The sequence below is a fragment of the Homo sapiens genome, chromosome 13, assembly GCF_000001405.40.
Source record: "Homo sapiens chromosome 13, GRCh38.p14 Primary Assembly".
Lineage (NCBI taxonomy): Eukaryota > Metazoa > Chordata > Mammalia > Primates > Hominidae > Homo > Homo sapiens.
Genome location: NC_000013.11, coordinates 34,941,191 through 34,964,948, shown reverse-complemented (window position 1 = coordinate 34,964,948; position 23,758 = coordinate 34,941,191). Strand labels below are relative to the sequence as shown.

General features: G+C 36.5%; 1 protein-coding gene and 1 long non-coding RNA gene across 13 annotated transcripts in view, besides 6 other annotated features; one reads left to right on the top strand and one right to left on the bottom strand.

Annotated features, from left to right (window-relative positions):
* NBEA (neurobeachin) overlaps positions 1-22,679 on the bottom strand; it is a 730,467-nt gene extending 707,788 nt beyond the window's left edge. For 11 of the 12 annotated variants that reach the window (NM_001385012.1, XM_006719803.4, NM_015678.5 and 8 more), the window contains exon 1: positions 21,835-22,679. In NM_001385012.1, coding sequence (NP_001371941.1) covers positions 21,835-22,128 — 294 coding nt within the window. In that variant the 5' untranslated portion in view covers positions 22,129-22,679. Of the gene's footprint in view, positions 1-2,093; positions 2,216-21,834 lie in introns of all 12 variants that reach the window. The other variant, XM_047430271.1, reaches the window with a different exon arrangement.
* Positions 63-357: a silencer, noted in NCBI's record as "tiled region #1134; HepG2 Repressive non-DNase unmatched - State 24:Quies, and K562 Repressive non-DNase unmatched - State 24:Quies". NCBI's record gives its function as "represses a minimal TATA promoter and a strong SV40 promoter by Sharpr-MPRA in HepG2 and K562 cells {active_cell/tissue: HepG2 | K562}" and the evidence as "EXISTENCE:reporter gene assay evidence [ECO:0000049][PMID:27701403]".
* Positions 5,863-6,157: a silencer, noted in NCBI's record as "tiled region #6808; K562 Repressive non-DNase unmatched - State 24:Quies". NCBI's record gives its function as "represses a minimal TATA promoter and a strong SV40 promoter by Sharpr-MPRA in K562 cells {active_cell/tissue: K562}" and the evidence as "EXISTENCE:reporter gene assay evidence [ECO:0000049][PMID:27701403]".
* Positions 21,039-21,128: a silencer, noted in NCBI's record as "silent region_5261". NCBI's record gives its function as "represses an Ori minimal core promoter by ATAC-STARR-seq in GM12878 lymphoblastoid cells {active_cell/tissue: GM12878}" and the evidence as "EXISTENCE:reporter gene assay evidence [ECO:0000049][PMID:35858748]".
* Positions 22,188-22,307: a silencer, noted in NCBI's record as "silent region_5260". NCBI's record gives its function as "represses an Ori minimal core promoter by ATAC-STARR-seq in GM12878 lymphoblastoid cells {active_cell/tissue: GM12878}" and the evidence as "EXISTENCE:reporter gene assay evidence [ECO:0000049][PMID:35858748]".
* Positions 22,748-22,817: a silencer, noted in NCBI's record as "silent region_5259". NCBI's record gives its function as "represses an Ori minimal core promoter by ATAC-STARR-seq in GM12878 lymphoblastoid cells {active_cell/tissue: GM12878}" and the evidence as "EXISTENCE:reporter gene assay evidence [ECO:0000049][PMID:35858748]".
* On the top strand, positions 22,759-23,628 carry LOC124903231 (uncharacterized). Its single transcript, XR_007063908.1, has 2 exons — positions 22,759-22,809; positions 23,247-23,628. It is a non-coding gene; the product is annotated as an uncharacterized LOC124903231 (long non-coding RNA).
* Positions 22,988-23,097: an enhancer, noted in NCBI's record as "active region_7586". NCBI's record gives its function as "activates an Ori minimal core promoter by ATAC-STARR-seq in GM12878 lymphoblastoid cells {active_cell/tissue: GM12878}" and the evidence as "EXISTENCE:reporter gene assay evidence [ECO:0000049][PMID:35858748]".

The following is a 23,758-nucleotide window of genomic DNA, read 5'->3' as shown; positions in this document are numbered from 1 at the left end:
CTTCTGTGATGGGTCCTCTACTCTAGGCACCGCTATGGAGCACCAAAGTGATAGTCACCACAATAATCCTTTCCCCACTCACTGTTTCTATTGCCCTCTGTTCCTAATTCTGCTCCAGTGTTAACCTGATCCAGCTGGGATCAAGCACGTACCTACTAATGGACCCAGAGACATAGATAACGTTCTCCCCCTGCTCTTCCCTTTGTAGCCCTGCTCCTTGTGGCCCATTGTCATTTAAGCTCCACTTAGCAAAACACAAATAGGTATCTGCAGATTCTCTTCAGAACAGTCCAAGTCCACCTGTAAACAACTCCTTTTTGGTCTTTTGGGCCCCAACATCACTCTCAATAGTGCAGACAGAAACAAACAAACCTTGAATTGTGCGTTAGTAAGTAATCAATAAAATATTTCCTAAATGGAACTAAGGAACATGAGCAACCCCAAGGAGCCATAAGAATAATTAAATTCCAGAAAATAAGTGTAGTAGTTTATTATGACTAAAGAGTGTAGAGCTATGAGAAAAAATAAAATGTCACTAGAAAGACAGGCAGGGGCAAATTATGACATGCCATGTATATCATGCTACTGAATTAGCATTTATGTGCCAAGTGAAGATGCTGAGTGATTTTGTGCCTGGGTAAGCAAACAGATTCTTGAGGACTTCAAGAATCAAAGCTTCAATATATTTAAACATCCAAAGCTCAGTGTGCTGAATGCTTGCCATAGTAAACACGATAGTTACCACAAAAGCTATCAACATATGATGTTATTTCCATATCTTAATTTCAATCAGAGTATAGCTTGGATTCGAGACAGTTGCAAGTTAAATTCCTAAGAATTCTAAAAAACAGGCAGTAAGCATAGCAAGTACTGCCTGTGTCTGAAGCTTAATTTAACAATTATTTGCTCTGAAATCTTGGAAAAATTATTTCACTTTCTTTAACCTTTAGTTCCCTCATCTATAAAACTACCAAAGTCATAGGGTAAAGCATTTAGCAAAATCCCTGGTACCTAATATGCACTTAACAGAGGTTTATTATTATTTTTATTATTATTGATATTAATAAAGAAAAGTAAGACCTAGATTTTCTACAAACATTGCAGCATATATTTTTTAAAGGTGTTTTCTTTTAATTAGCTGGAGTCAAAACTATTTGGGCTTTTCCGCTGATACTACTGAATCAACAGTGCCTTTGGATGCACAGATGAAGGCATGTGAGAATAAAAATATATCGGGGGGGGGAAGAAAAGAGTAGAAGCATGGAAAAGGATGAAATAATTCAAAGTAAAAAAGCAATGGGTTTACAAATAGAAAACTGTCATTTTTACAGGAATTTAAGTAAAGCATTACTAATAAAAGACCTTACATTTTTATCACTATCACTCATTTTACCCTTATTTTCGCTTAGTTAAGACCAGCTGTTATGGGCTGCACTGTATCCCCCCAAAAATTCATATGCTAAAGGTGAGGACTTCAACATTATGAATTTTGGGGGGAACACAGTACAGCCTAATGGCATTGCATTTGGAGATAGAACCTTTAAAGAGATAAGTCAGATAAAATGAAATCATATGGATAGGCCCTAATCTAATATAACTGATGTTCACATAAGAACAGGAGATTAGGACATAGACACACAAAGGAAAGCACATATGAAGACAAAGGGAAAAGACGGCCATCTGCAAGCCAAGGAGAAAGGTTCAGAAGAAACCAGTCCTGCGGCCACTAGAACTGTGAGAAAATAAATTACAATTTTTTAAGCCACCCAGTCTGCAGTATGTGTCATGACACCTCCAGTAAACTAATACACCAGCCAAACCCAAGAGACTCACGTTAATATAACCAAAGAGATCATTGCTAGACTAGAAAATCAAACACCTGAAATCCAGTTCCACAGTATGGCAACTTAAAATCGGAGTATCCCACATTAAATCAGTAATTTCTCTGTGCCTAGGTTTCCACATCTGAAAAACTAAATAATCTTTAAAATCTTATCAAGCACCAGCATTCTGGAGTTCTAGTATTCAATTCAGAGTCCTGTTTAAAATATGGTGCCCCTGACAGTTAATATACAAAGTAGCAATCTAAATACCGGAAGAGAGACTTGTTCTGATAAGTCAAGTAAATCTTCACAAAACACATCTTCTGCTTTCCAGGTAAAGGTAGAATTCCTTCTTGATTTCTGGTTTCAATAAGCAGGGAATACAGGAATTTCTGTCGAAAGTGTACATTCACTTATATATATTTTTATAGAGCTCACAAAAAGCAGTTGTTTATTTCATTAAGAAACACAATATAGCAAATAATATATAAAAACATGTTGGGAATAAGAGTACTCTCATTGTACTTAAAACAAACTCCAACATTTGATTCTAATAATTGTTTCCTCAACTCTGTAACGTTTTCAATTTTCCTTTCAAAGTATTTGCTGACAATAAAATGTATTTTAAATTTGTTGCCATATTGATTTCCATGAATTATTTAAGCAATTTTTGCCAGAGTAGGGAGAACAAGTTTTTCCCCAGTGGTCTGTGGTTTTTAAATTGTTGCTATTAATTCAATGTATCTGTTAGGATGAGGTTTACTGACATATAACCAGAAAACCCAAAGTATGAATGACTTGAACAATATAAAGGTTATGTGTGTGTATATATAGACACATATGTACACACATATGCACACATAGAGAGAAAAAGAGGGCATGCTAGAATATATTTTAGTTTCTTTCTATACTTCTAATGGTTCATCTAATTTAAAAATCTTAAAAATTTCAGAAATCTCCAGACCACTGATAGCCAATAAAAATACAGCGCAAGTCACAGATACAAGCCATATACATAACTTCAAACTTTCTATTAGCCACATGAAAAGAAAAATGTAAAATAAAACAGGTGAAATTAACTTGTATTAACTCAGTACATATACCCAAATATCCAAAATATCATTTCAAAATGTAGTAAATATTATGAAATTATTGAGATATTTTACATTTTTTTTACACCTAGCCCTCAAAATTAAGTGTGCATTTTATATTCTAAGGACATTTTAAATGCTCACTAGCCACATGTGTGGCTAGTGGCCGCCATGCTGGACCACACAGCTGTAGCCAGATCTAGCTTCTAGCCATCTTTCAAAACTCAACTCAAGCTTCATCACCTTTATAAAGACTTACCTTGACTTACTTGGTAGATTTCTTTTTTCAGTGTAGCCCACAATACCCTAATTGATTTCTATGATAGAATTTACACATCTCATTGCCCATATTTGTCACCCTCTACAACTCTATAAACTCCAGGGCAGAGACCTTATCTTGATCATTGTATCCGAAGTGCCTAGCTTTACATACGGTAAGTAATCAATAAAAGTTTGTGGGATAAAATGGATATGTGACCAGATATGAAGTTAGATTGAAAATGAATATACATATTTAGATCCAATAGACTGGTATTTATATGGGGGTGCGTGCAGGAGGAGGGGAAGCCACAGAGAAATAGCTAGGAGCAAAAGAATAGATCATCTGTGAGCTAAATATAGTAACCCACACTGAATAACTGAGTCAAAACTGGACAATGATATAATTTAATAACTTATGAGTGTATGTTAAACATTAATATCTGATCATATCCTGATAATAATATAAAGCAAAACTTTTATTAGACTTGTGGTTTTTTCTCAGGAATAAGCTACATTAATAGAGTCCCTCTTTAACAACTAATAACATGCCACAAGTGTGACACATCTAATTATTAAATTTTATTCCCATAAACAATCTTCCCACTAATACCGCTCTAATCTTTTTACATACACAGATAATAAATTAAGGTTCTAAAATATAAAATGCATACCGATCCAAAACTACAACCATTCTTTCGTTGGAATTCAAATCTCTGTTGTAAATGTCTATATCCTATATTTTCCAGCCAGGTCATCTTCAATTTATTTCAGAGTTTGGCAGCATAATTTTTCAATGTAATTGGGTTCAGCTGTCACACTGAGTGACAGTTTGTCATACAGTAACTAAAATATATTAGTTTATCTTTCAGAGTGCACATCACTAATAAGGTTAAACATTATTTCTAGGATAAAATACAGTCATTCATCACTTAACAACAGAGATACATTTTGAGAAATGTGTCATTAGTTGATTTTGTTGTTGTACAAATATCAGAGTGTACTTAGACAAACTTAGATGGAACAGCCCACATACATAGGCTCTATGGTATGGCCCATTGTTCCTAGGCTGCAAACCTGCACAGCATGTTACTGTATTGCATAAACAATTATAATTCAATAGTATTAATATATCCAAACATATCTAGACACAGAAAAGATACAGTAAAAATATACTATAAAAGATAAAACATGGTACACCTGTAGAGAACACTTAACATGAATGGAGCTTCCAAGACTGGAAGTTGCTCTGGGTGAGTCAGTGGTTGTGTGGTGAGTGAATGTGAAGGCCTAGGACATTACAATAACTACCACAGACTTTATAAAATGTATATACTTGAGCTACACTTAATTTACAAAAAAAAGTTTATTTCTTTAATATTAAAGTAAACTTAGCTTACTATAAACTTTTTTACTTTATAAACTTTCATTTTTTTAACTTTTTGACTTTTATAATAATTAGCTTAAAACACAAACACATTATATGACTATACAAAAATATTTTCTTTGTATCTTATTCTATAACCTTTTTCTATGTTTACTTTTTAACTTTTTAAACTTTTGTGTTAAAAACTAAGACACAAACACACACATTAGCCTAAACCTACGAAGTGTCAGGATCTTCAAGAACACTGTCTTCCACCGCCACATCATGTCCCACTGAAAAGTCTTCAGGGGCAACAACACCCATGGAGCTGTCATCTCTTATCATAACAATGCCTTCTTCTGGAATACCTCCTGCAAGACCTGCCTGAGGCTGTTTTACAGTTAACTTTTTTTTTAAGCTTGAGTTCTTGCTAAAATAATGATAAAAAGTACAGTATAGCAAATACATAAACCAGTAACATAGCTGCTTATTATCAAGTATTATGTACTGTACATAACTGTATGTGCTATACCTTTATACAACTAGCAGTGCAATAGGTTTGTTTACACCACCATCACCACAGTGAATGATGCATTGTGCTATGACATTATGATATCTCTGACTTCACTAGGAGATAAGAATTTTTCAGCTCCATCATAATCTTATGGGACCACCATTGTATATGTGGTCCATTGTAGACCAAAATGTCATTATGCAGCATCAGCAAATCTGACCAAAACCTATTCGCTCAACATACTCCCTATGACACTTATGGAAATGAGTACTTTTAAAAAGAAAAAATGCTTCTTCACAGCTACTCAACAGACTCCTAAAATAAGTATGTCAGTCACCCTAAAAATGAACATTTTTTTTTATCCTAAGGCCTGGATGAGAAACTGTTAATAGTTCAAAAGAATTTTATGACCATTCCAGGAATCTTGAACTGCTATGTAGTATTAATGAGGCCAAGGAAATGGAATTACATTGCCATTGGAATCTATACTTAGTATAGTCCAGTATTGAAAGACTGCACCTCCAATCCCACCCAAGCAGAGCTTCCTGTCTGCCAGGTGGACGACTTCCAACAACAACAGCAATGAAACAAGCATGTGAACAGATTAACACCTACGAAAAAAACATAAAATTCACACCTTAGAATATTTTATTCATAGCAATAGATACTCTAAAGAAACTTACAATATGAAAAGTAACATTTTGGTAAAAAAAAGAATCATTAAACCTCAACTCTTAAAAAACACGACAAATAAACATAGCACTTCATAATTAGTTACTGTATTATTACATATAATACTATTTGACCTGGCTTCTAAGGTATTTTTTCTGTAACATACTTTCAATTTTTATTGCAGATTAATGGAAAACTGTAACTCAATTTGCAGGAAGGAAAAAAACAATTCCTTTAGGAGGTGGTGAGGGGACAGGATATCCTTACAGAAAAAGAAAGGTTTGACATAATAGTGCTGCTACCAAAACAGTTAAGGAAAAATCCATATTCATGGTGATCCTGATCTTAGAATACTGAACTGTATCAGACCAACTTGAATTTTCTTCTCAGTTTTAGCAAGCCATTTAACTCTACTTTGATAAACTATTGCAATTCTTGGAAATCAAATTTTATGAGACTGCAAAAATTAGAAATAAGTTCCAAACACTCTCAGTTTACTTACTCTCATCCCTTCCTCCACCTTTTCTCTTATTCATTTTTCACAAATGCCCGGAGTTCTAGCTCCTACTCTCAAGGGCAGGCAGTAAAAACCAAAAGCACCTCCAGTCTCCCCAGGGCCTAAACTTACACCTATGCATTTAAACTATAACTCTATTCATGGTGTGAAATATCCTATTATTACTATTTCTTCAAATCCTGACCCAATTTTTAAAAAATTAATATGTATCAAATGTTTACTATATAACAGGCCTGACTTTACCAGGCATTAGAGGGTCTCCTCCCATTGTCACTTCCCCCAGTCAAAACTTAATCTGAATCTGTCCTCCCCTTCTTACTGATGAATATCCTCTAATTTCATTATAAATAAAAATGAATCGTTTTTGCTCCAAAGATAAAGGACAAGTGACTATTATAGTTCATAAAATCATGTAAAATATGAATTTGTCTCCCAAAGTCTCCAATATAAGACCTAACAACTGACTTACCTCAGTTAGAACAATGCTATCTAAAAGAAATATAATGTGAGGTACATATATAATTTTTAAAATTTAAGTAGTCACATTAAAAGAAATATAAACAGGTAAAATGAATTTTAATAAGTATGCTTTATTTATAATAAAATAACCTAAAGGCAATATATCTACAACATGTAACTAATATAAAACATTATTAATAAGATATATTTTTTAACTAAGTCTTTGAAATTCATTGTGTATTTTACACTTAAAGAACACTCAATTCTCAAAAGCCACATTATAAGCGCTCACCGCCACAAGAAATGGGCTTCCACACTGGATAGTATAGCTGTACACAAACAAAAAGAAGCAAACAAAGAGACAAATAAAGCTATAAATAGACTCAAAAGAGTTATAAATATATCCATGGCTGATAAGTCTTGCGTAAGTTATTTAAGATTAGCTAGGACTATAATAAAGGTAATAAATTTATGTTGTTTCTTAAAAATACAAAAACAAAGGGGTTGTAGCGAAAACACGTATCTTCAGAAGTTATATGTTATATAAAATAAGTTCAAATAGATATTGGTCATGCTCTCTAGAAGCCTATAAATAGACAGGTAGTATGAAAGATAAATAGAAGTTTTTGCTTTACCTTTTTTTAATGTTAAAATTCAGATTGTTTAATGTAACATGTTTACAATCTCTTAAGGAAAAGATGAATTACAGGTATTTTGCTTTAGATAAAGGAGGACTTGGGATAAAATCACTGCTGAATATTCAGTAAGGAAGTGAAATCATCAGGCTTAATCATACATAACAAATTAGTTTTGTTGTCCACAAATCGATTTTTAGGTGACAAAACAAAAATTATACATGTGTGAGTGTTCGTGGTCTTTCTTTTCCTGTGCCAGAATTCTGGCTTGGCCTGCTGAGTCTCTTCACCTCCCTCACCTTTTAAGACTGTCTTCCCAGTTTAATTATTTTAAGCTTTGTAATAAAGATGAAGGAAATGGAATACTATGAAAATACAGGGTTAGGGCTAGGTGTGGAGCAATACATAGAAGTTTCAAGATAAGAGAATCAAGAGTAGCTCTACTATGAGAACAAAACAAATGCAAGGGAAAAAATGAATTTTTAAATAAATATCACTATGGTGGGTATATATATGTGTGTGTGTATGTGTTTGTGTTTATACATATGTATGTATATATGTGTGTGTGTATATATATGTGTGTGTGTGTGTATATATATATATATTCCACATGATATTAAAGAAACAGAACTAAAGAATCTGAGTCCTGTAGAAATTACTTTTGGCTGGGTGCAGTGGCTCACACCTGTAAGCCCAACACTTTGGGAGGCCGAGGTGGGCGGATCACCCGAGGTTGGGAGAGGAGAAATGGAAGTTACTATTTAATGGGCACAGGATTTCAGTTTGGGAAGATGAAAAAATTCTGGACAAGGATGGTGATGATGGTTGAACAACAACGTGAAATCACTTAATGCCACCAAACTGTAAACTTTAAAATGGTTAAAATATACAGTGACTATGATTAACAATATTGTACTGTGTACTTCAAAATAACCAGAAGATTTTGAGTGTTCTTATCACAAAGAAATTATAAATAGTTGAGGTGATGGACATGCTAACTACCCCAATTTGATTTTTACACAATGTATACATGTATCAAAACATCACATTAGACCCCAGAAATACATACAATTATGTGTCAATTGAAAACAAAATTTTAAAAAGGGTTGAAATAAATTATATGTTATGTATATTTTACCTCTATAAAAAGATAAAGATATCAAGAATTTGAACATATCAGGCCAGCCTGGGAATAAACCTAATGACCAAAAAAAAAAAAAAAAACAACTTTCACTGACTTTCAAAACCATTGTTTTTTTGCTCTTATAAAAAATTGATTATTTGTATATAAATTTCATTTTTTATAAATGGAAAACACTAATTTCCTTAAAAAGTTAATCATCATTCACCTCAAAGACTACTGAAAATAAACGTAAATGCCAAATGTTAAAATGTTAATTTTCATCTATTCATCTTTACATTCTCTTCAGAATTACAATATACTCAAAATTAAAGTCGTCTTTTTTCTTTGCCAGTGAGTCTCATTCATTTTTGTACTTCATTCATTTGATATTTATTAAATGCCTACCATGTGCACAGGTTTATAATTTTTCTGCAATGGGTATAACAATATATCTTTCAACAGTCAAATAAAAGGGAGAGTTGATAGAAAAAATACATACCTCTTATGATGGTTAATTTTAGGTGTCAACTTAACTGGGCCAGAGAATGCCCATGTATTTCATTAAATATTATTCTGAATGTCTGTGAGGGTGTTTTTGAATGAGATTAGCATTTGCATTAGTATACTGTATAAACAGATTGCCCTCCCTAATGTGGATGGGCCTCATTCAACCAATCAGTTGAAGGCCTAAACAGAACAAAAGGCTGACCCTCCTACAAGAAGGGGTAATTAACTCCTCCTAACTGAAAGATATGAATGGTCAACTGTACTACTAGAATTTTAAAAAAAAATGATTTCTACAAAAAGAAATAAAGTTGATTTAATTTACTGTAGTCTATAGTTAGCATTAAGGCAAAAAACCATGAAAACACTCTTTCGTGGCTCTTGTCACTGTGCAAGCTATCCCTTTGTGGAAAGCTGTTCTTTTCCTGCTCTTTTAATCCTGGAACAGTTACTTGTCCTTCGAGATCCCTTTCACAAGACGTCTACCCATGAAGCCTTCCCAACTCCTCCAAGGAAAGTTAGGAGCTCCATTAATGTTCCCACAGCACTTTGTTTCTATCTCTACAATATCACTTTCATCCATTATAATTTATCTGTTTATTCTTCCATTCCCTGTTCTGAATTTCAAGTTATTTGAAGGTATGAATTATGTTACTCTTTTATGTACCCAAGAAGTATCTTGACTCTAGCAATAGCACACTAGATTAGGATTAATCAGTAATTTATTTAACTATCATTTTAAGTATTCTGAGCCTGCTGGAGTAAAAACGGAAGTTTCCATATGAAAGTTATAAAGCAGAAACTGAGCTTAAGCAAAGTAGAACTACAGTCATCAAGATAAAATGAAAAAAGAACTGGACGAAGGGTCAGGGAATCTGGGTGTTAATTCCTAGTCTGTGAAGGACCATAGAATCTTAACCTACCTGGTTCTCAGTTTCCTCATCTATGCAAGTGAAAGAGTCAGGCCATTGACCAGATCCAAAAACACTCTGACTCCTTACCAGTCTCAAATATCCAGAAAACTTTTTTTAAAATATAAACCATGTATTTACAGTGGACCCTCTGTATCCATGAGTTCTACATCCATAGATTCAACCAATAGGGGATCGAAAATATTTCTTTTAAAAAATAGATGGTTGCATCTGTATTGAACATGTACATTTTTTCTTGTCACTTCCCTCAACACTGCAACAGAACAACTATTTACCTAGCATTTACACTGCATTAGGTATTATAAGTAATCTGGAGATGATTTGAAGTATATGAGAAGATATTCATTGGTTATATGCAAATACTATGCCATTTTATACAAACGACTTGAGCATCCATGGATTTTGGTATCCTGAGGGGTCCTGAAACCAATCTTCCATGGATACCAAGGGACAACTGCATACATGTAGGTACACCAATCATCCCCCACTCAAAAATAAAAACTGAAATGTTAAAGCAAGAGGAAAATGTAGAAATTAAAAGAATCAGAATAGCCTGCAAAGATAAGATTTGTGCCGAAGCTGAATATGACTGAAACAAGCAAACTAACTATACCAAAGATGAGAGAAAATATCCACAGTAAAGTTCACTAAACACCACAAAATGCCAGATACTATGTTAAATACTCATAATAGCAAGGTAAGATAATGTGCTGATCCTCAAAAGATTCAGAGCCTCTAGTGCAGTCTGATAAGTAAACAAACACAGTTGTCCCTTGATATCTCTGGGGGATTGGTTCCAGGGCCCCCTGTGGTTACCAAAATCCATAGATTCCCAAGTTCCTGGTATACAATGGTATAGTATTTGCACATAACCTATGCACACCCTCCTGTATACTTTAACTCCTCTCCAGATAATACCTAATACAATGTAAATGCTATGTAAATAGTTCTATACTATATTCTTTAGGGCAGCGATCCCCAACCTTTTTGGCACCAGGAGCCAGTTTCATGGAAGACAATTTTTCCATGAATAGGGGGGTTCAGGGGGAATGGTTTTGGGATGAAACTGTTCCACCTCAGATCATCAGGCATTAGATTTTCATAAGGAGCGCACAACCTAGATCCCTTGCTTGCGCAGTTCATGATAGGGTTTGCTCTCCTTTGAGAATCTAACGGCACTGCTGATCTGACAGGAGGCAGAGCTCAGGTGGTAATGCTCGCTCACCCATGGCCCACTTTCTGCTGTGCGGCCCAGTTCCTAACAGGTCCGTGGCCCAGGGGTTGGGAACCCCTGGTTTAGAGAATAATGACAAGATTAAAAAGTCTATACATGTTTAGTATGGATGCAACCATCCATTTTTTTCTCATATATTTTCTATCCAAACTGAATTCACGGATATGGAACCCATGGATACAGAGGGCCAACTGTAATTTAAAATAGAATGTGTGGGTACTAAATCTGAAATATGTATAAAATTCTATGGGAAAGTACATGTTGGGAGGAATAGCTTTTAGGGGAATATCAGGGAAGACGTCACTTAAATAGGGGTAAGAGCTAAATCTTGAAAGATGAGCTGTTCTTTAGACAAAAGATGGAAGAATATGATGACTTGAGAAATGTAACAACTATCAAGTAACAGTCAATATATTATAATAAAAGGAACATTCTTGTACTGATAACTCATATCTCCTAAGGTTAAAAAAATTTAAATACTTCATTTAAAGTCAAGGACTTTGAAAGGGGGATCAAGTTATAAAGAATTAGTATAAATTAAGTGAAATAATTCTATGACATTTTATAATCAAGTATCGTTTATATATTCAGAGTTGAAAACACTTGTCTTTTAAGACAGCAGACTTGCTTAGCTTAAAAAGACAATTACTTTATTTCACTGAATATTTCACAATATAGGTCAAGATGATTAAATAAGATAACATAGGTCATATGCTTAACACAGTGCCTGACATGTAAAGATTCTATCACTGTCATCATCATCATTATCAAAGGTAATGGTGTATTTAAATAGCAAAACTTGGAAATGGAAGATCCAACTTTGGATCTCATTCTGCTACTAAGCAATTTTGCCATCTTGGACAAGCTCCTTAACCTCAGTTATAGATTAGTTATTATTTCAAAGGAGTTGGAAGAGGACATTAAAAACATAAGATATGAACCCAAACCCAATCTATAAATGCCAATTCCCTTCCCAAATGTAAAAAAATTAAATAACATAAAAATATTTATATACCATCTTTTAATCTGCTGCGTTATTTTTCTCAGAAAATGAAAGTATTTGCTAAAGAGAAATATATCTAGATATTTTTACTCCCATAAAATTTGCTATTAACCAATGTTTGCTCTATCTTCATAAACTGAAAGAGAAATCACAATTATTAGAAATTATATTACCCAGATGCTAGTATAATTCCTTCTATAACTCATTTGTTTTATTCAAGCAAATATGGTATATACAGTGGTTCAAATAATTACCTCCAATATATAACAAGAAAATCACGAATTTACTTTTTCTGTATAATATATTAATGCATACTACTATTCTGGTTCAGAGTAATCCCTCAAGTATCCACATTATACCCAGTGAAAATGTATAAAATTCAAAGCCATTTACCACATAACCAATTATTTCCTAAAACTCAAATATTAATAACTCATGGTACAGTTCTTGCTAAGTCACTTTAGTGTACAAATCCATTCAATTGACCTGCATTCATTTTTAATTTCCTCTGAATAGCCTGTCCTAAGTTGTCTATGGGACACATTCCCTACCAGAGAATCAACTCACTGAGGCTGGCTGGTCCCTCCCCTTCCAACATCATCTCTTCATACATGCTGTTTTTGGGATAATTTCTAAGTACTAGCTACATTTGCTTAGTAATGGGAAAGAACTCTAGCTTTGGAACCTGAAGGTCTGAGTCCCAGCTGTGCTACTTAGTACCTAGATAACCTTGTCTAATTACTTCACATTTTCTACAGCCTTAGTTTCTACATATGTAAAGCAGGAATGGTATCTATAAAAGGAAATTATTCTGAGGGTTAGAGGACACTGCTGTGTTCAATTCCGCAAGTGTACTGTAAATAGTTAAGAGCTATTAAACTATAGGCTAATGTTAGTTTCTAAAATAGTCATAAATTAGTTTTTAATCCTTTAACTTGCCCCTTAGACTTGTTACCCAAGTAGTCTTCTAAATATTTAAGCAAATACTCCCAGAGGGAGTTACTATTTGCCTTGGATCACCATTCATGTCTTACTACATCAACATGTGAAAGTCAGCCCTGTGAGAGAAGAGATGGAAGAGACTCCACACAAAGGAACTGGTGTTACCTCTTGCCTCTTCCATCCCCAGTTTCTCACCCTCCTCATGCAAAGTAAGAAATCAGAAAAACTACCTCAGGCACTGATAAAGACTATGCAGGATTCAAGACAACAGATGTCCTGTGCTTCAGCAGGAGATCATGATCTGTGTGTACCTAAGAGTCCCCTCCCTGACAGGTCACTAGGCTCAGGTACTCCAAGCTAAAATAGGACAGATCACTTTCAGTTAGGTCATTACTTCTTTCTATGGTCAGGTGATTCTCAGGACCAAGGTAATAACTAAAACAACAATAGTAAGTACTAACTAAAGTTTACTATATACCAAGCACTTTACATATATTAACCCATTTAATCTGTACAACCTGTATATCTATCTTATAAGGTTGAAATCCCATTTTACACACAAAGAAACTGAGGCACAGAATGTTTTAATAGCTGTATGTTATTTCATAACATGGATGTAAAAATAATATATTTAATGTTTTCCTATTGTTGAACATTTAAGTTGTTGCCACATGTTATATCATAAAAATACACTTAATTTTCATACCTGTCCACAGGTATTTTTTTCCTTAGCCTAAAGAACTAAGAATAAATTATAGGAACCTCTTTAAAATCCTTGATACATATTGGTAAAATGTCACTCGGAATAGCTGTAACAGTTTACGAGCCCAGAAAGAGCATTTAAGATTATTTTAACTTGCCCTAGCAAACAATCATCATTTCTTTTTTTGTGAGACAGGATCTTACTCCATCACCCAGGCTGGAATGCAGTGACGTGATCACAGCTCACTGCAGACTCAACCTCCAGGGTTGTTGCTTAGGTTGGTCTTGAACTCCCTGGCTCAAGCAATCCTCCCACCTCAGACTCCCAAAGTGCTGGAATTACAGGCATGAGCCACCATGACCAGCTGGTCATTTCTTTTTAATCACTTCCTTTTCATGTTATCTGTTGCCTTATGTTCTTATTTAGCCAAAGTGAGTATTTTTATATTAATTAAACATGTATATTTCTTCTTTCTTGAAATATATCAAGTTCTTTGACAAGTAAACATTTTTCTTATGCTTCGTCCTGTAATATTTAATACCTAAAGTATTTAAAATTTTTTTAATTTAGAATATTAGAAATTAAATATTTCTAAATATTTAATTTAGAAAATTAGAATATTCTAAATTTTTTAATTTAGAATATTAGAATATTTAATTTAAACATTAGTATTTAAATATTTTTTAATTTAGAATATTGGGGCACAAATGGATAGAAACCCAACTCAAACTGGCTTAAGGCAAAATGATGCACTGAAACATCTGGAGATAAAACTGACTTGAGGGGATCCAAAGCTGCCATCAGCAATGTATGGCTTGGTTTTAGGTGCCTCTTTAACAGCTCTGTTCTCAAGTAGAATCTGACTTCATGGTGCAGACTGCAATCAATTCTAGACTTACATTCTAACATTTTCAGCAACCCCAGCGAAAGCACCTTTTTCTTTCTTCAGAAAGAAGTTATCAAGCTGTCTCAGAAATGCAGCTAAATTTTATAACCAATACCAGTTACTGTTGGGCCAGACGTCAGTTTCTCTGTCTGGTCCAGGAAAGCAGGATAAAGTCCAGTGAAGCCCCAGACCATAAAAATCAAGAATGACTCCCTAAAAGAGTATCAAAAAATCGAGAATGTTAACAGCAGAAAGAATGGATGCTAGGCAGCCAAAACCGTCAGAAATCTATAACATTAGAGTCCTTGGCTACCCACCCATCTCAGACACTCACTTCTTTTCATACATATAACTACTTAAATATCCATGTTTAACATGGCTATCTTAGACACAATAGAAAGTGTACTTACCACCTTACCAGAGGGTGAAAAAAGACAAAGACAAATTACTGCATCTAACCTCAAGTCTGAAATTTTTGTGTTATGACAATATTCTTCTTGGTGGTACCTCAAACCTGACCAATTATATAGCTATATAATGAATTTAACTATAACTTCTAATTAATATACAATGGTAAAAGAACATTAAGAAACAATAACTGCACTTAGAAGACTGGAGAAGGTTAAAGAAACACCATGATAACTAATTTCAAAGCATAAACCATATATCATTGGTCAGAGTAACAAGAATTCCCTGTCCTTGCTAATGGAATTCCTTGGGTCGGCCAAAATGAACACATTCACTACCACTATATCTCAGAAGATCTCACTTATTAGCCTCCATAACGCAGATTTTCCTTCTAGCAGCTACACTGCTGGAGCTTAGAATTGCCTTAGAAGTAAAAGAATGCAGGCCTTTGTTTACCAGGCTTGAGGTTTCTCTAGAAGTATGGCTTCCTTAAACTTTGGTAAGTTTTTCGTCAATTTACTTAAGTAAAAGGAGTTGAATTCGCAACCAAAACAGGAGATCCTGTCAGGATCTTGTCAGCTTTTAAGTTTCAGTCTCATAGCAATAGGCCTTCCCAGTACTCTTATCCCCTTAACCGTCAGCTTAATGATCTTCCTTGAAGCAATGTGAAACAATAAACTGGGTGAGGAGGCACAGCTATTCTATCACTTGCTCCCTGGTTGCATCCTATTTTAAAGCTCTTCACAACTGGATTACTGTTACTTTGGTCAGAAGGCTGGCGTATACTGCATGCGAGGCTTGGGAGAAGCTTATCAGACAGAACTTTATTTGGTTCTCATTTAAACTCTTGGCTTTCCTCTTGCCAACTTTAGCACGGGGTAAAAACTTAGGCCTTTATGACCTACAAAGCTTTAATATTCTAATTCTCTGCTATCTTGGATGGCAGCTACAGGCAGAAAGAGCCTCTCTGCCTTGGAAAGGCTACATTTTCTTTCTGCTTTGCTTTCAAGCATGCTAACTTGGACCGAAGTTAACTGCTCTCTTAAAAGACATTGTATCAAAGACCCCAAAAAGTGACCAAAACATTCCAACATCCCTAAAATTCCAACCTCAGTAGTTCCATTGACAAAGATAACACAGGTGACAATTTAAACAGCTGCTCTGTAAAACGGAACTGCTAGAGGACCACAAAGTTCTCACTGCCTTCCACTCCATTTCAAAATCTAAGGTCTGTTTCCTACAATGTGTCATTTCCAGATACTAATGTCTATGTTACTGGGGATTCCTTCTATTTACAAGTGACAAAAAACCCAACTTACACTGATTTGAAATAAATAACAATAGTAAATTTTAAAGGAGATAATTTAATGGTTAGAAGATAATCACCACAGACATAAAGAACTCTAGGTTCTCCAACAGAATCATGAGGTTGTTTGCTTTACACCTGATCAAATTCTAAGACAGGGACCTACAACTCTTAAGAATTTACACATTCAGCATCCCCATCAGAAAGCCTTCCAGCACAATTCCTGGAACCTACTCTGGCTCGCTACCCTTGGGTTAAATGTTTGTCCCTGAACCAATCACCACAATTCTTGCCACACCTAGGTTAGATGTCTGACCCTCAAGGCAGGCAGTGGGGTAGACCCACCTAAACCAGCTGAACTACAAATGGGGAATAAGTGAGTCATCAAAGGAAAACTGAGGTACCACTACAAAGAGGTGACATGTACGCCAGACACACAAAAACAAGAGATGTCCACTATTCTTGGCAATATGACAAATGCTAACAATATTTTCTACAATTTCTCTTCAATGCATTACGTATTTTCTTTGTTAACAACATGACCTTGTTATGTGATTATATTTGATTATACATAAAAGTTTACTGAAAAGTTTTTACCAGATTCGAACTTACTAACAGATGCCAGTTCAAAATAACATCTACATATGCAGTAATGCCTACACAGTCAGGTAATATCATACACATTGAACACATATTTCTAGTTTGAGGAATAAGAAATACATAAAGTTTATATGAGTTGACTTTATATATGAGTTTATTTCAGGATCCTAAGTCTGGACCGTAATGTTGAACATAACTTCAGAAACTGACCATAATCATTACTGCCTAATACAGTGTCCTGCACACTACAAACGCACTTAACTTATCCAAGGCCTAGAAATACAAAAAATAAATATACATAAAATCAATTCCTGCCCTCATGGAGTTCACAGCCTAGGAAGGGAAACACACATAAATAACTGCAATGCTACAGGGTGATATGTGATGCCAAAGAGATATGCTGACATTGTATAAAGACAAGAAATGGAAAACCTGGAACTAATGCATAACAATATGTTCAGTATATAGTTAAAAAAAAAATGCAGGTGACTGAATTTTATAATACAGCTATACCAGTGACACAAAACGGGCACTGGGTCTGTTAGACCCAATAAATTATTTCACACTGTTTGGGAAAAGTATAGCAAAAGAATAAAGAACCTTGAGATATTTTTAATTAGCAGCATAGTATTTACCAAAAAGCAGCTAGCAATACACAAAACATTTATTTAAAATTAATATAACTTGATCGTTGACTGACCACAGAATATTTGCTGCCTTAGTGTCATTATGTGACTAAATTAATATTTCTAAGGAAAATCTCAAAACTCCTTAAGATATTGAAACCTCGAGCATTTACATATGAATCCTGAATTTTATTTTCCATACCCAATCATGAGAATAAAATACAACTCAAATTAATATGAAAAGGCTTATATATCAACATAAATTAAAATGCAGGAAATTATTTTAATATAAATGTGGTTTTATTAGTATTAAGGACCTCCATGATTCTAAGATGCAACTGTATATTTTTTAAATAAATATAATTCAAATGCAGAAGACACCTTGTTTGTAAAATTCTAAATATCTTTAAAATGAAAATTATGACTATCAAGCTGCAAATTTAAAAAAACTCTAAGGAAGAAGAGTTACTGCCATATTCAAGTACAAAAAAAAAAAAAACCTTAAAGTTACCCTTTTAACAAAAATACCATGATCCATAAGCCAAGATGAGAGAAATTTGGTAAACCACAAATCCCTTCAAAGCATCTTATTAGGCTTCCAGTTCAGCCAACAGCATGCCACTTAGAATGTAAAAAAAAAAAAAAATCAGAGGAAATATCATTTTCTACAACTGGACACACTGATATAACTCACTGTAACTCATGAAAAAAAACTACAAATCCATGAAAAAATTTCATGAAAAAATTTCATGAATTCAGTTATTCATAAAAAATTTGTCTATAATTAAATTCCATAATTATAATCATAGAATTATACTATACACATAAGAAAGCCATTCCAAAAAAATTATGAATTCTTTCACTAAGTAAATATTAATCCTCTATTATAAACATATTTTTCTAGAAATTTATGTTTATAAAAGAAACTTCCATGTTATAAGCAACAATAACACGATACTTACATAGCTTTTACTTCAAATATGGATAAAGCTTATATAAACATATGTTAAGTGTGTTTACAAAAGAAGTAATAGATTAGGTAGTACGCCAGTTTTACAACTGAAAACAATCAACAAAATCTCTTCTCTGTAGTTAAATTCTCTTATATTGCCACTTTAAATAATTCCTCCAGAAGCCAAACTTTGTTAACGATCAGTTTCTTTCATTAGTAGAGCTACAATGCAAAATCCTTGACAATGCACTCTGACTGTAACTTTATTCACAAACTAATTTACCTACCTTCCTAACATTATCCATTCCATATTTCACTGTTTTAAGTCAACTATAACATCATTATACAAAATACATACATCTCTAATAAAAATGACTAATTTTATATCATATCACATTGGTGATTCCTCACCAAACTCCCACAATCCACCTAGTAGTAAAAATAGGTCTCTAGACCTTTGGGAAACAAAGCAGAAAAATTACAGCCACCGCTCTGTTGAAGAAGTCCTACACTTTAGTGCATGCTTAAAACTTCACTCTGCCCAGCTTTTAATTCTTTGGCCAAGGCATGTGAGAAACAGCACCTAAAAACCAAGTATTTATGAGTATCCTTACATAGGAAGAAAAAATAAACAGGAAAAAGAAAGAAAAATATACTGACAAAGGCGACTGAGACAAAGGTATTGTTTAAGGTAGAAACTCCTCTTTTTTTTGAAGTTTCATTAGTTCTCCTTTCTTTTCTGTCATTCAGGGCACAGTAATAGGTATTTCACTATTTCACCTTACATTTTTATTTAATGTGTTAAACTAAAACTGAAAATTTTAAAAAATCATTTTAGATTTAATATTAAAGGTTTCCAAACTCTAACGAGTCACTGAGTGTCCTATATGAATTTTATTGGTTTACTTACTAAATAAATAGAATTAAGTTTGATAATCAGTTTTTTAAATGCCCATGACTTCCACATATTTTTGAGAATCCACTTAAATTTTCATATGACATTTTCATGAGTGTATTGGACAATAAAGCCCTAAATCTACAGTTCAAGAAAATTACACTTCAAATGACTAATTTATACTCCACAATTAATATAATTAACAACTTAGTAATAAACAGCTCCTTTTGTCATTTATTCTTTTCTCCAAAAGTTTCTATTTAAAAATCTATTGCATTCTTTAAATACATACAAAGAAATTTTAAACCTAACTCTTTAAATTCCAAATATCATTGCAGTTACAAAATCTTAGGTAGATTTGGGGATATACTATCTCAGTATTACTTTATTTCTAGTGACTCTAAGCTTAATGGTAAAGTTCTCTAAAATAACGTCTGCATACTGAAACTTCATGTCAGATTTTCATTGCTCTGAAGAGTTAAATTTCTTTTTTATCTCAAGAGAAACATTTCACTTCCTTTCTTAGTCTACCGTATATCTAAAAAACCCCATCTGTTAAGAACTGATTCAGCACACATTGCTACTGCTGCAGAGTCCAAACTGGTTATACATTCAAATCAGTTTCCAGGTTGTGAAAGCTCTACTGCCTCTTACCAGGTTAAAATGTATTAAGTAAGCATAGGAATACTTACTAAAATAGCCTAATATAATCTAACTTAAAAATGATATTGGTTAGATCAAAACTGCAACTAAAAATGTGTTCCTTTAAATTACAGAAATACAGTTACCTGCTAACATACTAACAGTTTGAGATTTATCTTCTTTTAAAAAGAAATGGCAAGTACTGACCTCTTATTTGCAGCTAGTTAAAATTAAAACTCAAGAAAACTGTATTTCTAGTAGTGTTCTGAAAAGAACTTGGTTATATCAACTTAGTGACATTCCCTCAAACTTACACTGACTTTTCATGATGATTTATTTGAAAGGTACAAAAAAGTAAAAAGAGGTGTTTTGTTTTAAACAGCAATGAATATAACAAAGACAGATAATCTCCTTTGACCTGACACACTAGCAAAAGGAAAAAAACAGCTTCAACTTTTCTGTGCATTTACGAGGTTCATAAACCGTAGACATTATCTAATGCATGTCTCAGGACACCACTGATGTAGCTGCAGCTTTCTCTCAGTTTTCCAATAGAGTAAGTAAAAATAATTGCTTAGCTGAAAAATGACTGCATGGGTGTTACAAAGTACCCCTGTAAGCATATTGTTATATTCCTGTGACCCCACACCAAATACAATACTCAACTGATTGCTCTCGATTTATGTCTTGCCTCCCAAAGCCCAACCTTACAGTATGTCAAAGACTAGATCTATTGCAGAGAAAACTGTTTAAAAAGCTTGGCTGCATTTAAAAACAAAACAAAACAAAACAAAACCTCCATTTACAAAGCACTAAATATGAACTACTGTTAATTATCCTCAATGTATGATTCTCCTCTCCTTCTTTCCATTTCTTTCCCTGACATCTTAAACGCTTCTGAGCCTCTCTGTAGATAGCGCAAAACATTAAGTCATACACACTTCTGCAGTAACTCTTTCTTACCATGAAAGGAACCAAAACCTAGGGCTGCGTTTAAAACCTTTCCTTTAGTCTTTACCCACATGCCACACTACTGAAAGTAACCACAGAAATCAACCTGTGTGATTTGGTGTCCTCACACACCTTGTGTGCACAAAAAATGACTAAGAGATCAGTATATTCAGGGCAATATTACAAAGAAGGGACGGCTGCTTCTGAGATGGAGGGGGATGGATACAGACACAACACTCTCCATCATGGCCTTGGAATATTTAAAGACAGATGCAAAACTGCATCATTTTCTGTCTCCTTCGAAAACATCACACCCCAGCTGCTCAAGTTGGAAGCTAATGCGCTTCTCACATTTCAGCAGCACGGGGGAATTTAGGCTCCAGGGGCAAGGCTGTCATCCTCGGAGAGCGACACCAAGGACAATTAAGTGTGAGAAAAAGAACCCCAGAGAACAGGAGGCCTCCTCACCTCCTAACTAAACTCTAAAGTCGACCCAAAACCTTCACCGCGGGTACTGGGTTACTCGCGGTCCTAAAAAGTGAGAAGAAGCGGTGTTAAGTTGGGCACTGCGCTCAGGTGGCAGGAGAGGACCAGAAAGAGGAGAGGAGGGAGGTGGCGTGGCTCTAGCAGCGCGCAGGCAGGTCACCCGCTGGGCAATACCGGCTGAACGCTCTGCGCTCCCAGGGACGCGCGGCGCGTGTGACCCTGGGGGTGAAGGGTGGGAGGGAAAGGCGCTGGGGACGGTGTATGTGGGGACTGGGGAAGCAGATTGAGAGCACGCCTTTTCCTTACCAGGTTGAGCACCGTCTCCACGATGTCCCTGTTGCTGACCTCTCCGACCTGTATGAGTCCAATCAACACTGCGAATTTCATCCGGATGTTGCGGATCGGCACCGAAGGGTTAATCATCCCCGCGGGGAGCATCACCGAGCCGGAGCCGGACGCCCCCCTTAGCTCCCCCATCCCGCTGCCCCCGGTGCCGCCACCACCGCTGCCCCCGCCGCCTCCGCCAGCGGCCCCGACGGCAATGAGCCCCACGGGCTGAGGCTCGAGCCCCGGGCCCGGGCCCGGCTTCTCGCTAGCCATTGGCCCCCCTCCTGAGGAGAAGGGAAGAGCAGCGGCGCTGCCGCCGCCGGTACCGTTATACCTGCCTCGGCCCCCGCCCCCCGGCCGTCGCCTCGGAGCCCCAGCATCCACCAGCGCCGCGGCGCCGGGCCCGCTCCCCGCCTGCGCCTCAGCCCGGCCCGCTCCGGCGCTCTCCCCCGCGGAGGCGGCGGGGGATCCGCAGGCTTATTCTCGGCGGTGGCGGTACCGCTAACCGCTGCCGGGCAAGCGGCTGTGCCCGCCCAGCAGGTGTGCCGCTGCCGCTGCCGCTGCCGCCGCCGCTGCCTCTGCTCTCTCCCTCTCCCGGTCTGTCCGGCCCGGCCCGCCCCCCGCGGAGATGCTGCAGCCGCTCCGAGAAGCCCGAGGACGCGAGCAGCTGGCCACGACGCTGGCCGGTGCTGAAGCTCAGGCTGTGGCCGATGCTATTGACGCTGCTGCCGCCGCTGCTACGGCCACCACTGTTGTTGTGAAGCCCCGACGCCGCCGCTCACTCCGCCATGTTGCCGCCCCCTGCCTGCGGTAGCAGCCACTGCGCCTGCGCACAGCCTCCGGGGGGGCGGAGCCCTCGGTGCACCCCCTCTTTTGCCCTGCCCTCCTTCTCTTCCCACCCACCCACCCCGACACCCCTCGTCCCTCCCCCAACCACCCCGAACGGATAGACAGGTGAGCAGGTGCATGGGGACTGCTGCCAGACACTGGGGCAAGCTGGCAGAGGCGGGGCGGGTAGTGGCTTCCTTGTGGTTTTTCCCTTGAGGGCGGATTCTCCCTTTGGGGAAGGACACAGTGTGCATGTCTTGCCTTCGCTGCCACCTCCTCCTTCTCTCAATATCCTCTTGCTGGGAGGAGGTTCCTCATCTCAGTTGTTGCATCCAGCTGCTGCTACTGCCAGTGCCACGTGCCTTGTAAGGTAGGGGAGTGGCAGACGACCTCTTTCTGCCCCTCCTCGCCCTTCCTCGCAGTCCTGTCCGCCTGCCCTCCCTAGAATTTCCCAAAGAAAAAGTGGCTGGCAAAGCAGAAACAAACGCGCGGGGGGGCGGGGGGGCGATCCTGCATTGTCGGGGGAAGAATACAGACGGAGTGTAATGGTGCTTTTTCTACAGCCATGAAAGAGGCTGACACCTGCACACTCAGGCACGACTTAAAATAGAACTTGTCAAACAGTGATCCTCTCTGGATCAAGCTCGGAACAACAAACAGCTCTTGAACTCGCCTCCCAGCCTAAAAAGACTGCAGTGTGTGACACTGTGGGGTAGTTTGGTGGGAACGACAAATCCCACACTTTCAAAATCCTGACAATCCTCAGGTATGATGCCAATTATTAATGTTTCCTTTTTTCACAGGCACGTACAATTCAGAGGACTTTCGAAATTATCTAAAAACATGGGTGATTCTCACTGCCAGCCTTGTCTGTGAGAAAAGTACATATCTATGTCTGCACAGATACGAGACAAAAAATAAACCTTTAATTTTTAAAAATTAAAATGTACACAGTAATCTTGCTGTTAGTATTGAATTAAAACTAAATAGGCATGACTGTTCCTTGAAAGGAATGATATAATTTTCTTTAATATTTCATGAGGTCTTCCCTTTTCAATAAAGATTATTGCAAGTC